The following is a 14,920-nucleotide window of genomic DNA, read 5'->3' as shown; positions in this document are numbered from 1 at the left end:
AACTGCCCGCTACAGCTCTTTCCTTGTGCCTCACAGCAGCCGGTCCCACTTCCTGCATCGCCACCAATGTGGCCCAGGCCACCAGCCCCCGTGACACTGCAGCCATCCCCTTTGCTCCCCGTCGTGGCCTCCCGACCGAGCAGCCAGAGTGACCCCGAAAGCCTAAATCAGCCTGCGGCGCCCTCACCCGTCCTCCAGCTGCCATCGCCTCCTGGGTGAAGAGGACGCAGGTCGCAGCCCCCGCAGCTCTGCCCCTCTGCCCTCCGGCCAGGCCGCCCCGCTGTCCCCCTTGCTGTCCACCTCTCTGTCCACCCCTGCTGTCCCCCCCCGCTGTCCCCCCCGCTGTCACACCCCCGCTGTCCCCCCCCCGCTGTCCCCCCTGTTGTCCCCCCGCTGTCCCTCCCGCTGTCCCTCCGGCGAGGAGGCTTCTGCACGTTCTGCGTGGGCCTCTCCCCGGGGCCGCCCCAGGTCTCCCCTGACGCCCACACCCACCACCAGGCTGTTGTGCGGGACCTTCCTTCTCTGCCTCTCCAGCTGGTGACGCGCACTGACGTCCTGCAAGGCCCGCTCCAGGTGCGCCACCTTTGACTGGCATGCTGAAAGGACAAAGGGACGGAGGCATTTTACCGGAGAGGACATCCATGGGGCCCAGCAGGTCAAATTCCTTTCTCTAAGTATGGGAGACATTTTTAAAAATAATGGAGTCCTCCAGGGCCGGCTGCGTGCTGTGGCCTGTGCTCCTCACTGCTTTGGACCCAGGCTGCGCTGTCTCCACCACGACCAAGGACTCACAGAGCTCGCCTGGGGGACCTGGCCCCACAGTCACCCCGTCCGTCATCAGCCTCAAATGCCATCAGCCCGTGAATGCTGCTCCATCGTCTGCATGGCAGCCAAGGAGGTCTCTGCTCCTAAAGCACCTGGGAGCCCTTGGTGAGGGGGGAGTGGGGCAGGGAAGGAGATGCTGGGGCCCAGCTCTGCTGCTGTGGATTGTTACAGTGGCCTGGGCCTCTACTCCCGCCTCTGTCCTACCAGGATGGTGCCAGGTGATGTGGCGATGAGTGGGCATCGCGTGGGGGCCTTGGACGAGCGTGGACACCCCAATCCCCAGACTGGCCATTGCCGTGGAGGCAGCGTGAGTGTGACATGGAGCTCGGTGTCGTGCTGCAGAGGACGCCTCGCGGCTGTACGCGTCATGATAGCCAGGGACCCCTCCACATGTCACTTAGCCAAAGGATGCAGCCCAGCCTGGGGCTTTCTACCCCAGGCCCGAGGACCTGCAGGGACAAGGACCCCTCAGCGCAGATGCAGCTCTCATGAGGCCTGAAACCAAGCTGGACTTGCAGAACTGCGCACGCTCCCTTTCTGAAAGAAACACCCGTTACCGGGTCCAGACTGAATGTGGGCGTAAGAAAGCGGGAAGGGTCCCCCACAGCAAGAGAGAGACCCTCCCAGTCACTTGGTCATCTGAGCCTTGAGTGTGTCCGGCCCCAGCCACCAGCCTGTCCCCACTATCCCTCTTGTCAGCACGGCTGAAAGGAGCTGCCTGGGCACCTGAGGTGGCTGAGGCTCATCTTTGAGGAGCATGGAACTCGAGGGGAGAAGTCGCGCCCCCAGGGAAGCCAGGTAAGGAGGCCCCGAGCCCCTGAGCCTAACGCCTGGGCACAAATAAGCCGCCTGGGGACCCCTCTGTGTGGCAGGACTGCACCGTGGCTCCCACAGGCAGGGCCTCAGCAGGCCCTGCCTCCTCACACGTCAGCATTCCCTCTGCGGGAGAGCCTTGGCGGCTCCCTGCTTCTCCCTTTGAGTTTCACCTTTTCAAAGCTTAAGTACACTGCTTTTCACAAAATAACATGATTGTCCCTTTCCCTGGAGCACATGGCTTATAAGAACACAGGCGTTGCCGGCTGTGGTGGCTCGTGCCTGTAATCCCAGCACTTTGGGAGGCTGAGGCGGGCAGATCACCCGAGGTCAGGAGTTCGAGACCAGCCTGGCCAACATGGTAAAACCCCATCTCTACTAAAAATACAAAATTAGCCAGGCGTGGTGGCAGGCGCCTATAATCCCAGCTACTCGGGAGGCTGAGGTGGGAGAATAGCTTGAATCCAGGAGGCAGATGTTGCAGTGAGCTGAGATGGCGCCACTGCACTCCAGCCTGGGCGACAGAGTGAGATTCTGTCCCCCGCCGCCCCCCGCCCCCCAAAAAAAGAACACAGGCATGCACACGTCACTCCTACAAACACGGCCTTAGGGGAGTTACTGAGCAGAGTGCACTGAAGAAAACTAGGCTACAGCAGTGATTTCAATAAAACATCATGTAGCCTCGCAGAAGATCAGTACAGGTTCCAAAGTTTCCACACACCTATTTTGGAATATCAGCAGCACAACCCTTGACCAAGTTCCTAACTTGACCATCATCTCTTTGGCCTGTGGACACACTGAACACTGGGCAGAAGCTGTGAGCATGAGACGAACGTGGGGATGGTGCTATTTGGTTCTTTTGTTTTTTTGAGACAGAGTCTTGCTCTGTCGCCCAGGCTGGAGTGCAATGGTGCGATCTCGGCTCACTGCAAACTCTGCCTCCCGGGTTCAAGCAATTCTCCTGCCTTAGCCTCCCAAGTAGCTGAGATCGAAGGCATGCGCCACCACACCCGGCTAATTTTTGTATTTTTAGTACAGACGGGTTTCACCCTGTTGCCCAGGCTGCTCTCAAACTCCTGGCCTCATGTGATCTGCCCGCCTCGGCCTCCCAAGGTGCTGGGATTACAGGCATGAGCCATCGGGCCTGGCCGGCTAGTGCAATTTGGACGATGAGTTTAAAACTGCAGAACCAAAGTAACCTCTTCCACAGGCTTCAAGCACAGTAGCTGAAGATAATAAATCCATTATAACAAAAGAGTAGCCAAAATGCTGTGGCATTCTTAGAAATGAAGAAAGAACTGAACTGATAAGACAAAAAAAAAAAAATCTCACGTCATATTATAGGAAACTCTGACACAGAACGCCCAACGTGGACACAGGTGCCAGTTCAGCAGTGACCGTCAAGACCGGGGAAGTGCCCTGTGGTGACCAGGAGAACAAGGAGCTCCTCCAGCAAGCAGGGCTGCAGTGGGAGCTGGGAGGGAGCAGTGCACCTGCCAGCGTGGCCGAGTCACACAGTGCCTGCCCTCACCTGTGGAATTTGGTGTCAGCTAAAAGGAAGAAGAAATGGAAACTTAAATTCTAGCCGGTCATTTTCTTAAAACTGCAAACATTTCTCTCGAGTGTGGACTGGCCCGGCTTCGGTGAAAGGTGCCCTCCTACCTAGCAGGGTCTCGGCACTCTGCTGTGTTCTTTGCACCGCGGTCACTATTTCAGAAACACGGTCCTGATACTCATCCTGATAATCTCTTAAGAGCGCCCGAGAAGAAGAATGAAACGCCTGTATATCCTGGTTAAGTTTCTATAAAATAAGAACATACACGATTCATAAAATTATATGATTAATGATCACAGTATAATTACATAAGAATTTGTTATATATGTTTCTATAGAATAATAACATACCCACACAATTAATATAAGGGATATGTTGTTAACTGGAAGGGTGTAAAGCAGAAGTTCTTCGGCCCGGGCCTGTCGATGCCCGCCAGGACTGTTTTCATGCTGCCTGTGCCTCGGCTCACTTACAGAAGTTCTGACTCAATACATCTGGGATTTCTACTTTCAAAGCAGTACATGTGATTTTATGCCCTTAAAGTATTTAAGAAACAGAAAGTCAAGTGTTTCACCAATTTCCGTAGGAAGGGCCGCTCACTGCACGGTGGGGCGATGCTGGGCGCGAGCCGTGTTTCCGTCTATTGTTGACTTCCTCACGATGCTGGCTCAGGCTCAGAGCCTCTCATCACCGCCTGTGAAATGGGGACCACCCTCCTAATCTACTATCCAGACCTGCCTTCTGGAAGCTCAATTATCACGAGCACATGGTGGAAAACGTGGGCCGGTGAAAACAACTTAACATGTAAATGTACATAATAAAATTCCAGGCACAATACATATGAACGCTTTTAGAGAACTTTGGGAGCAAAGCAACTGATGTCCTGCGTGGAAAGTCCTCTTCTCCCCATGAAATTATCTCAAGGATCTTCCATGGGAAGATGTGACAGAACCAGGACACTACTGCTTAATATTTAATATCAGATACTCTTAAATCACAGGAGCATAACTAAAGTATTCTTCGTTTCTTTAGTCAAATCTCCTTTTCTATAAAATGGAGACGGCTTTCATATGTTTGGGAAACATTTTAATAACGAATTAATAAACATTTTAATATCAAAACTAAAGTGTTTTTCTTATATGGAGTACAGATAAAGTTATACATACAACTTATTCAATTAATTTTATTCAGTTGGAAGAGAATGAAAATTAATTTTATATAAATCTATTCTAAATACACTAATGCAGCTTACGAGGGGGTGGGATATCTCTAATTCTGACTAACATAGAGAACAGATTAATCCTGTTTACAGATGTTTTATTGTTGTAGTAATTATATGGTCACATTGTTTAAAACAAAAGGTAAAACAATGTTCTCAACCAAAGGTATAAAAATATCCTCCTACAAGCTCACCCTGGAGAATTGCCAAATATACTATAGGGAATAACAATTTTTCTAACTTTCTAGAAATTATTAGTAGTTTAACAGGAGCTGTTCACATCTGATGACATGCTGTACCAGATCTATTTAGTCTAACATGTATAAACATGTTTTCTACCACTTAACATTAAAATTAAATTGAGAACTTTGATTAACTAAAGTAAGATTTTAGTTTAATGATTTAATTTGATTAACTAAAATGAGAATTTTGACTCAGAAAATTGAACTGCTACCACAGCTATTTGAAATAATTCATTTCATGGACAAAATGTATTTTTCCTTCTGATATTTGCTCAGAATCCCAATCCTATGTTTTGTTTTGGTTTTAGGTTTAGTCTTCTGTTTAGTGTGTATTAGAAAGCAGAACTCCCAGAGTGAACAACATCTGCAATTGATTATGAAAATAGTAACAATTTTGGCCAGGCGAGGTGGCTCACGCCTGGAATCCCAGCACTTTGGGAGGCAGAGGCAGGCGGATCACAAATTCAGGAGATGGAGACCATCCTGGCTAACACAGTGAAACCCTGCCTCTACTAAAAATATAAAACTTAGCCAGACATGGTGGCAGGCACCTGTAGTCTCAGCTACTCAGGAGGCTGAGGCAAGAGAATCACTTGAACCGGGGAGGCCGAGGTTGCAGTGAGCCAAGATCCTGCCGTTGCACTCCAGTCTGGGTGACAGAGTGAGACTCCATCTCAAAATAAATAAATAAATAAATAGAAAGAAAGAAAAGAAAAAAAGAAAGAGAAAATAAGCTGGGTGCGGTGGCTCACACCTGTAATCCCAGCACTTTGGGAGGCCGAGGCGGGCGGATCACGAGGTCAGGAGATCGAGACCATCCTGGCTAACACGGTGAAACCCCGTCTCTACCAAAAAATAGAAAAAATTAACTGGGCGTGGTGGCGGGCGCCTGTAGTCCCAGCTACTCCGGAGGCTGAGGTAGGAGAATGGTGTGAACCCAGGAGGTGGAGCTTGCAGTGAGCCAAGACTGCGCCATGCACTCCAGCCTGGGCGACAGAGCGAGACTCTGGTGTTTTTTTTTTTTTTTTCTAAAAAAAGAAAATAGTAACGATGGTATACTCTTTTAAAGAAGACCAGATTGGGCCTGTGATGGAAACTTGTATCTAACACACGAGGGGCTTTCCTGGTTTCAATGAAGGCTTCTTTTACTTCCATAAGATTACATGTCTTTTGACAAGCATAATTTAAACCATTTCACCAGAAACAAACATAAACATTCACTGCATGAATTAAAACTCTGGCTTCTGGTGAAGCTGTTTTTACCTGAATGACATGACCCAGCTGGCTCAAGGCTGAGCGTGTGTTTCTCTGCAGACACTGCTGTTTGTTGTACAGGGTGGAAATCCGCGTGGCCTCACTGCGACTCTTTTCAATCTTTCCCTTGTACTATTGCATAGAAAATAATCAAAGACAATTTAAAGTCTTAAAACCTCGAAGCTGAAGCAGAGGAGAGCTGAACCTCTCCTCTTTCCTCTGAGAAGAGAATGGTTGCTGATTGTCCCAGATGCACCTGCCCACGTAAGAGAAGACACCACCCCTGCATGGGACTCACTGCAGCAGGGAACACGGTGGGGACAACTCCAGGTGATCCAGGGGCGCGCGGGGCACGGAGCCACAGGAGCCGTCGGGGAGGCATCCCCAGGGCTGAGCCTGAGGGTCCCGGCCAGGTGCGGGGAGGCAGAACGTCCTGGAAGAGGGGCTGCGTGTGAGGCCCGGGATGCCCACGTGTGACTCGGCGATGCCCGCGTGTGAGCTCGGGGTCGCGCGCTGCCTGCGGTGCCTCCGGGGAGCTAAGCCCAGGCCCGAGTCCTGGCACAGAGACGGCCAAGCTCAGGGCCTCAGGAGCAGAGGGACGGGGGCGAGCCGGGCGCAGCGGGGCAGGGAGGCTGCAAAGTCACCGAAACTAACTGTGGAGCAAAGACGGCCGCGGAGGGGGTGCGATTAGGTCAGAAAATCGCCGTATTCTCCGTGTGAAGCTCCTCAGAAGCGGAAAGGTGTTAACAGAGAACTGCAGAGGAGCGAGGCTCCCCAGAGCCCCGGGGGGTGAAGAGGCCGCCAAGGGCACCGGCGGATCCGTGGGGCCTGAGCGGGGGCCCGGGAAGCCTCTCCCACCCTCATGGGACTGAAGAAGAGGCTGCAGCCAAATTCAGTCCCCGGCCCCCAAAGGCTCAGATCGTCTCTGGGGAAGAAAGAAATACCACGCACGTGAGTGTTAGAAATCATCAGCCTGCGCGTTAGAAACCGTGTTCCGGAGCCTCCGGGACTCACCGGGCGTGGAACGGCAATTCCGAGAAAATCCACGGTTCCAGAGCCCCGGGGACTCACCGGGCGTGGAACGGCAAATCCCAGAAAATCCACGGTTCCAGAGCCCCGGGGACTCACCCGGCGTGGAACGGCAAATCCCAGAAAATCCACGGTTCCAGAGCCCCGGGGACTCACCCGGCGTGGAACGGCAGTTCTAAGAAAATCCATGGCGCCAGGATGGTCTGCGCTCAACGTGGGGCTGCCCTGGGCTTTGGGGGATTTGGCCGTGGGCAACAGAAAGACGGGGGAGCGGGCCTGCGTGGGTACAGGGAGGCCGGATTGCGCTGGGGGTGCTGAGGGATGGAGTTGGATGGAAATAAAGTCACCACCTGTTGGGCAAAGGACATGGGACTTATCTTAGGTGGGGGCGACGTGGGAAGCAGGAGCATGAGTCACGGGCAGGAAGCTCCACTCTGGGGAGGGCGAGAGGCCGGGAGGGCCAGGAGGACCTGGAGGCCTGTGCAGCCGCCAGATCTGCAAGGTGCATGTGGTGGATGGTGCTCCGCCTGCGTCCCGGCCCAGGAGTCCCAGTGGAAAAGCCGTTTCATTGCAGGGCCCTTGACGCCAAGCACATCACACACCAAGGCCGCGGTCTGCGTGGCAGTGGAACATGCTGGCCTCCGGGAGGCAGCAGGCAGGGCCACCACGTGGAGATCGGCCTTCCAGTGACCGGAACCACCACGAGGAGCTCACAGTGCAGACGCCAGGGCTCCACGGCTTCCTTTCACACTGTGTGCCCAGTGATCTTACATGTTAAAAAAGATCCTTTAAAAAGCTCATCTACATGATGCTGGAAAAGTCGGCGGGCTGGGGCAGCACCCTCACCAACAGTGCGTGGTGGACAGCACCAGGCTCTGGACCGGACCCAAATGGGAAGCCTGGGCCTGCACTTTGGCGTCAGCGGCCACCCCGACAGCCACTGCTTGACTGGCTGCTGGTGCCACAGAGGCTGTGACGTCCTGGAGAGCCACTCATCCTGAGGGACCCTGAGCGGGGGCCGTCCACGTTCTGCTGGAGAAGGCTTTGGTGGAATGTGATGGCGAGGGGTTACCTCTGCAAGCTCAGGCACTCACGGGCAGGGGTCTGAGGTCCCTCCTCCACAGAAGGACCTGTGTCCCTGGCCAAAGATGGAGACTGGAGTGTGATTGTAGAGCAGCGACACCTCAGGTTCCTTGAGACCTTGTTGACCAAGAGTCTTGACCCTTCTAATAAAGCCACGAAATGCTGTGAGGCCCTCAGGCTGGACGGGGTTACTATTTCCAACTGTTTTCATTACTGTAGAATGACACTGTGAACTCCCAGGGAACAATGTGGCTTGGAATTGGGTGACGAGATTTGATGCTCAGTCCCACAGCTTTTTGTCATTGTGAATGTGGGAATGTTTTTCACCTCTCTGGGCCTCGGTGTTGCCGCCTGTGTCTTCAGTGCCTAGGAAGGGCATGATAATGCACTCATACCCGGGCCTCAACGCCCCAGGAAAGAACGAGCTTAAAAATGAACGCAGAAAATATTCACTTCATTTCAGAAGTAGTAGGAATATCCCTTAATTAATATGCAAATTTTGTGCAACTGCATTTTTTTTTTCAATGAAACTCGACAGGGTTATTCAAGGACAGTCAAGAAGAGTGGAAGCCCACTTGGCCCTGATTCTGCGAAGATTCCAAGAATTCTAAAGGGGTAATAATTTAAAGATGAGAACACAATGGTTTCCTATTTCCACTGTTACAAATTACGGGAAACTGGGGGTTTCCAACAGAAACTTCTCGTCTCATGGTTCTGGAGGCCAGAAGTCCAAACCCAAGGTGTGGCCGGGCCTCCCTCTGAAGGCTCCAGGGGAGGGCCCCTCCTGCCTCCTCCTGCCTCTGGCTCTGCTTACAATCCTTGGCCTGAGGTTGTATTGCTCAGTACACACAGTCACATCTGGAATGCCCCCTTCCTCCATCCCCACGTGGCCTTCTCTCTGTGTGGAAACTCCTCTGCCTCCCTCCTGTAAGGACACTCACTCACGGTGGCATTTAGAGCCCACCAGGATAACCCAGGACACTCTCCCATCCCGAGTCTTAATTTAGCCACATCTGCAAACCAGTTCATGTCCTGATGAGAAGTGTCCAGGGACTCAGGCCTGCTTTCTTTCCGCGACCGCTTCTCAGCCTAACCCAAGTAGCAACAGCAAACGGTAGAAAAGAACCACCCGAGTCCGTGTGTGCCAAGGGCGTTCTCCCTTTGTGCTCCCTTCCTTTTAAATTCTGAGAACAAACCTGCAAGAAAAACTGAGCGCAGTCATCTTCCAGAGACATTTTTCTTTGGTGAGGCAGACAGATCATATGCGTAGCATCGTTCAAGTGTTCTGGGGCTGATCCCAGAATGACAGATCACTCGAGTTACCAGAAGAGCGGCTTCCTGGAACAACGGGGTGTGGGAAGGGGTGGAAACACGCCGGCGGGGGCCCTTCGGGGTGATGGAGATGCCGGGCACCTGGCTTGTGGGGCCTTCGAGGTGATGGAGACACCGGGCACCTGGCTTGTGGTGATGGTGGCTGCTGTGGTTTGAATGAGCCACCTCCAAAATTCACGCGGAAGCTTAACCCTCGATGTGGTGGCGTTGAGAAGCGGGGCCTTTGGGGACGGACCTGTGCCTCGTGGACAGACTGGAGGGAACCGGCGCAGGCCTTCTGTGCTCCCCGCTGTCCTGCCAGGAGAGGACAGTGCCAGAGATGGCACCATCGGTGAGGAAGAAGGGCCCTCGCCAATGGCCCCGCGGCACCTGGTCTTGGATTTTCCAGCCTCCGGAACTGTGAGTGATAAATTCCTGTTCTTAATAAATGTCTCCGTTGCAGGTATTTTGTTACAGCAGCACAAATGACTAAGTCAGTTGCACAACTACACATTTCCTAAACGTTGACTTGTACACTTAACATGGGTAAATTTATGGTACACCCACCTGGTACACTAAACCTCAAGAGAGCTGTTTTGAAAAAGCGTGAGTTCCTGATGAATTGTTACTCATTAAATACCTGTGAGCACAGAGACACACAGGAATTTGGAGCTCAACCTTGATCCAGTGTCAGAAGACACTTCACACAGCAACCGAGGATTCCCTGTCACCTCACTCGATGGCAAAAAGAAAAGGTCCCAGGGAGTCACCCCCAATGTATTTCTTCCACAAGGGCTAAAAGCTGACTTCAGCACGAAATCACTCCCCACTGGATACGATTCCACTCAGCCTGCAGGACATGTGAAAATATTACCTGTGCCAATTTCAGAAGAAGGACAGCGTTTTCCGTTTCCAGTTCTGCTATCTTGTCTTCTTTGGCCTACAACCAAGGATGCAAAAAGGACAGCGAACAACAGAGCACGCACCTGGTCGCACCGACAACACGAGAGTTCTGTTCATCGGCCATCACTTTCATCCTCGGAACACAGCGCACACCAGACACAAACACACGGGCCCTCGGCAAGGAACTGCCGTCCTGGGCTGCACGGCTGTGCTTTAGTCAATGACAGGCCTCGTACCTCACAGGGGCCCCTTGAGATGGTAGTGCCTTATTTTTACTGTGGCTTTTCTGTGTCGTGATGCACAATTCCTCACTGTTGTGTTACAGCCACCCGCAGTGTGCGGCACAGTCCCGCGCTGCCCAGGTCTGTGGCCTGGCTGCAATGGCCGCACCCGATAGCAGCAGGCGGGACCTTCCCAGTTCGTGGAAACGCACCCCGCGATGTTCCCACAATGACAAAGTCGTCCAAGGACACATTTCTCAGAACACAACCCCGCCATTAAGCGATGCCTGACTGTATGGGAACTGACCGATGCTGGGCTCGGATGACGCCGCCGCCGCAGGACAGGGAGGAAAGGCCATCTCCACCCCCGACAGGCCCTGCTTCCCTCCCACCGTCCACGCTCACATCCACCACCTCTCCAGCCTCCAGTGTGGCCCCTGACCAGCAGTGGCAGCCGAACCTGGGGGCTTGGACCCTCCCACTCCTTGTCAGAAGGGGACTCAGAGAGGCCGGCTGGGAGGGCTAAGGGCTACCACAGAAACACTGGGGCACAGAAGCAGCCGGTGTGAAGTCCCCGAGGTGGGAACGAGCGTGGCGTGTTGAGGACGGGGCAGAGGCCTGCGAGGTCGGCGAGTGGGTGAGGGAGGCTGGGGTGGGAAGGAGGCCGGGAAACAGCCAGGGTGTGTGCAAGCCAGGTGCAAGCCCGGGTTTGATCCCACGTAGACGGGAGGGCACTGGAGGGTCTGACGTAGGGCAGTGACATATCACCCTATCAACAGTGAACACGGAGAGAGCCAGCGACCAGAGAATTTCCTGCAAAGACAACCACCAGTTTCTTAGGAAGGGGGTTCAGGTGCAGCCCCTCCTACTGGGGGTTCAGTCCTCTGCCGGGGACTCCTCCTCCCCCATGCCTGCTGACACGCCCACAACCAGCTGTGATGAGTTTAGGACAATCTTACTTGTAACTCCAAACTCTTTGGGACTGGTGACGTGACCTGAGGCCTTGGGAGTCATCTACACCAGAGGTCCCCAACCTTTTTCCCATCAGGGGCTGGTTTCGTGGAAGACAGTTTGTCCACAGGCTGGGGGTAGGGTGGTTTTGGGATGAAACTCTTCCACCTCAGGTCATCAGGCATTAGATTCTCATAGGGAGCACGCAACCTAGATGGCCGCATGTGCGGTTCACAAGAGGGTCCACGCTCCTCTGAGACTCTAATGTCGCTGCTGATCTGGTAGGAGGCGGAGCTCAGGAGGGAAAGCTCACTGGCCCCTGCTCACCTCCTGCTGTGCACCCTGTTCCTAACAGGACATGGACCAGTACCAGTCCATGGCATGGAGGCTGGGGACCCCTGATCTACGCTACCCATTGCTATATGCAGTCCATTTAAGCTCTTAAAAAGAAATCTCTGGAATATTTCCTCTCCAATCCACTTAATTCCAAAAGGGCACCCTCTCTTCATGGACAACTGCAGGAGCGGACACCACCACTCTCTGCCAGCTTCTTCTTTCTGGAATTAATTGAAAACATTTCCATATCCTGACTGAGGTACAAATCACACGCCAGACAATTTACTCATCTCAAGTGCACAGTTCAGCAAGCTTTAGTGTCCTTCAAGTGCGACTCACCAGAAAGGTTCAGAATATGTTCATCTTCCTCAGAAGAAACCCTTAGACATTACTCCTAACTACTTCCTACCCCAGTGCCAGGAAACCACTGATCTATTTTCTGTCTCTATTTGCCGATTCTGGACATTTAATGTAAATAGAATCACACAACACGTGGTCCTTCGTGTCTGGCTTCCACTCTGCATGTTTTCAGGGCTCAGCCATGTGTAGCAATATCAGAATTTCATTCCTTTTTATTGCCAAATAGTATTTCATTGTATGGATGTACAACATTTTGTTTATTCATTCATCAGCTGGCGGACGTTGAGGTTTTCTCTTTGGTTATTAAGAGTCATGCTGCCAGGACGTTCACGTACAAGCTTTGTGGAGAAGTGTTTTCAGTTCTCTCGGGTGCATATACCTAGCATTTTGAGGAACTGCTAGACTGTCTTCCAAAGCAGCTGTGAGGCAGGAGGATAGGGAATTCGGGTAACCAAGGGTGAAGGCATAAGCAGAAGAACAGCAGGTGCAGCTACTTCCAGGCAGGACTGGGCAGCACACAGGCCACAGCCTCCCTCCAGTGATAACAAGACAGACAAGTTGCACGTCAGCCTCGGACTGACCACGGGCCACATCTCTGCTTCAGCCTCTGATTGGTCACAGGCCTCTAAAGGGCACCCAGGGGTGTTACCAAATTCTTTTCGCTTAAGAAAAGCCCTAAAGAACATTGCAACTGGGGATCTTGAGCCGCTTGCTTGAGCCCGCTCCCACTCTGTGGGGTGCACTTTCGCTTCAGTAAATCTGCACTTTCTATACATCTGTGCTTTTGTTGCTGTTTTCTTTTGTTGCTTTTTTCTTTTGTTGCTTCTTTCTTTTGTTGCTTTGTTTGTACATTTTGTTCAATTCTTTGTTCAATTTTGTTCAGTTCTTTGTTCAACGCACCAAGAACCTGGACAACTCACAGTCAAGATGTCCCATCCGGTAACAGCAGCATTAGTTTTACTTTCCCACACAATTGCATGAGGATCCTGATTGCTCCACCTACTCTCAAACACCTGTTATTTTCTCTCTTTTTTATTATAGTCCTCTTTGTGACAAGCAGTGGTGTCACACTGCAGTTTTATTTGTCTTTCCCTGGTGGCTAATAATGGTGAACATCATTTTCAGTGTAAAAGTCTTGTTAAGTCTTATACCTTGTACTTCTTTGGTTAAAGGTATCCTGAAATGTTTTGATATTTTTGATGCTATTGTAAGTGAAATTGTTTTCTCTTTCTTTCTTTTTCTTTTTTTTTTTTTTTTGGACAGAGTCTCACTCTGTTGCCTGGGTTGGAGTGCAATGGCCTAATCTTGGCTCACTGCAACCTCCACCTCCCAGGTTCAAGTGATTCTCCTGCCTCAGCCTCCCAAGTAGCTGGGATTACAGGCACCCGCCACCACGCCCAGCTAATTTTTTGTATTTTTATTAGAGATGGGGTTTTGCCATGTTGGCCAGGCTGGTCTCGAACTCCTGACCTCAGGTGATCCACCCGCCTTGGCCTCCCAAAGTGCTGGGATTACAGGCATGAGCCACGGTGCCCAGCCTTTTTTTTTTTTTTTTTTTTAATAGAAACAGGGTCTTGATATGCTGGCCAGAGTGGTCTTGAACTCTTGGCCTCAAGCAACCCTCCTGTCTCAGCCTCCCAGAATGCTAGGATTACAGGCATGAGCCACCATGCCTGGCTGGAATTGTTTTCTTAATTTCATTTTCAGTTGTTCATTTCTACAGTATAGAAATACATTTGCTTTTTGTATATTGATCTTATATTCTTCAACCTTGCCGAATTTGTTTAGTGAGTTTAACTCTATTCTGAATACGCTCCAGGATAAACATGCTAGGTCACAGAACAAGCCTGAATACATTTAAAGGATATAAATCATATATGATTCAGGCTTGTTCTATGACTTAGCATGTTTATCCTGGAGCGTGTTCAATGCGCACTTGAGAAGAATTTTCAATTCTGTTGTTAGGTAGCGTGTTCTACAGGTGTCTGTTAGGTCTGTTCAGTTTATCGCATTCTTTGAGTCTTCTGCTTACTTGCTGATTTTCTATCTAGTTGGTCTACCCATAATTGCAGGTAGAGTATTGAAGTCTGCCATCCTTGTTTTTGAATTGCCTATTTCTCTTCCATTCTGTTGGTTTTTGTCTCACTAGTTCAGGAGCCCTGTTGTTAGGTGTATTCTTCCCTCCTTTTATATTATTATAGTTATACACATTATATGTATATATGTTATAAATATAATACATTGTTATAATTATGACTTTACATAATTTCATGTTCATTAAAGGAGGTGAGAAAAGGAAGGAGGATACATATTTATTTATATGCAAGTTCTATTTCTCTTTTTATTCACCATGTTTGTTTCTCTTCATTTGGTCCTGTGGATTCGAGTCACTGGCGTCCTTTCCTGACTCCAGTAAAACTTTGCCTTCATCACATCCTTTGTGTTATTTTTGTCAAATACATTACATTTCTACATGTTACAGGGCCAACAGTACAATTATACACACTCTGTCTTATACAACTGTTCTTTAAATCAGTTAAGAGAAGGAAAATGAAGAAATATACATGTCTACTGTCTTTTATAATTATATAATTACCTTTACTGATGCTCTTTGTGGATTTGAGTTTCCTTGTGGTTTCACTTGCTTTCAGCCTGAGGGATTTCCTTTTCACAAGAAATTCTCTCTGATTTTTTTTTGAAGAATGCTTTTATTTTGCTTTAATTTTTGAAAGACAGTTTTGCCAGATATAAGACTCTTGATTGACAGCTTTTTTTTCTTTCAGCACTTTGAACATCTCACTCCACTGCCGTATGAGTC

At 50.7% G+C, this 14,920-nt stretch overlaps 1 long non-coding RNA gene across 1 annotated transcript, besides 1 other annotated feature; it reads left to right on the top strand.

Moving 5' to 3' along the window:
- The first annotated feature begins 58 nt into the window (after nt 1-58).
- KIF25-AS1 (KIF25 antisense RNA 1) lies at nt 59-2,949 on the top strand. The gene is made up of 4 exons (NR_103750.1): nt 59-230; nt 535-898; nt 1,033-1,623; nt 2,672-2,949. It is a non-coding gene; the product is annotated as a KIF25 antisense RNA 1 (long non-coding RNA).
- Nucleotides 6,452-6,952: an enhancer, noted in NCBI's record as "H3K4me1 hESC enhancer chr6:168390864-168391364 (GRCh37/hg19 assembly coordinates)". NCBI's record gives its function as "activates a minimal SCP1, AML or CMV promoter by ChIP-STARR-seq in primed H9 embryonic stem cells {active_cell/tissue: H9 hESC(primed)}" and the evidence as "EXISTENCE:reporter gene assay evidence [ECO:0000049][PMID:30033119]".

This window comes from Homo sapiens, chromosome 6 (genome assembly GCF_000001405.40).
Source record: "Homo sapiens chromosome 6, GRCh38.p14 Primary Assembly".
In the NCBI taxonomy this organism is placed as follows: domain Eukaryota; kingdom Metazoa; phylum Chordata; class Mammalia; order Primates; family Hominidae; genus Homo; species Homo sapiens.
The sequence above is the reverse complement of the archived record's forward strand: the minus strand, read 5'-3'. Positions and strand labels throughout refer to the sequence as shown.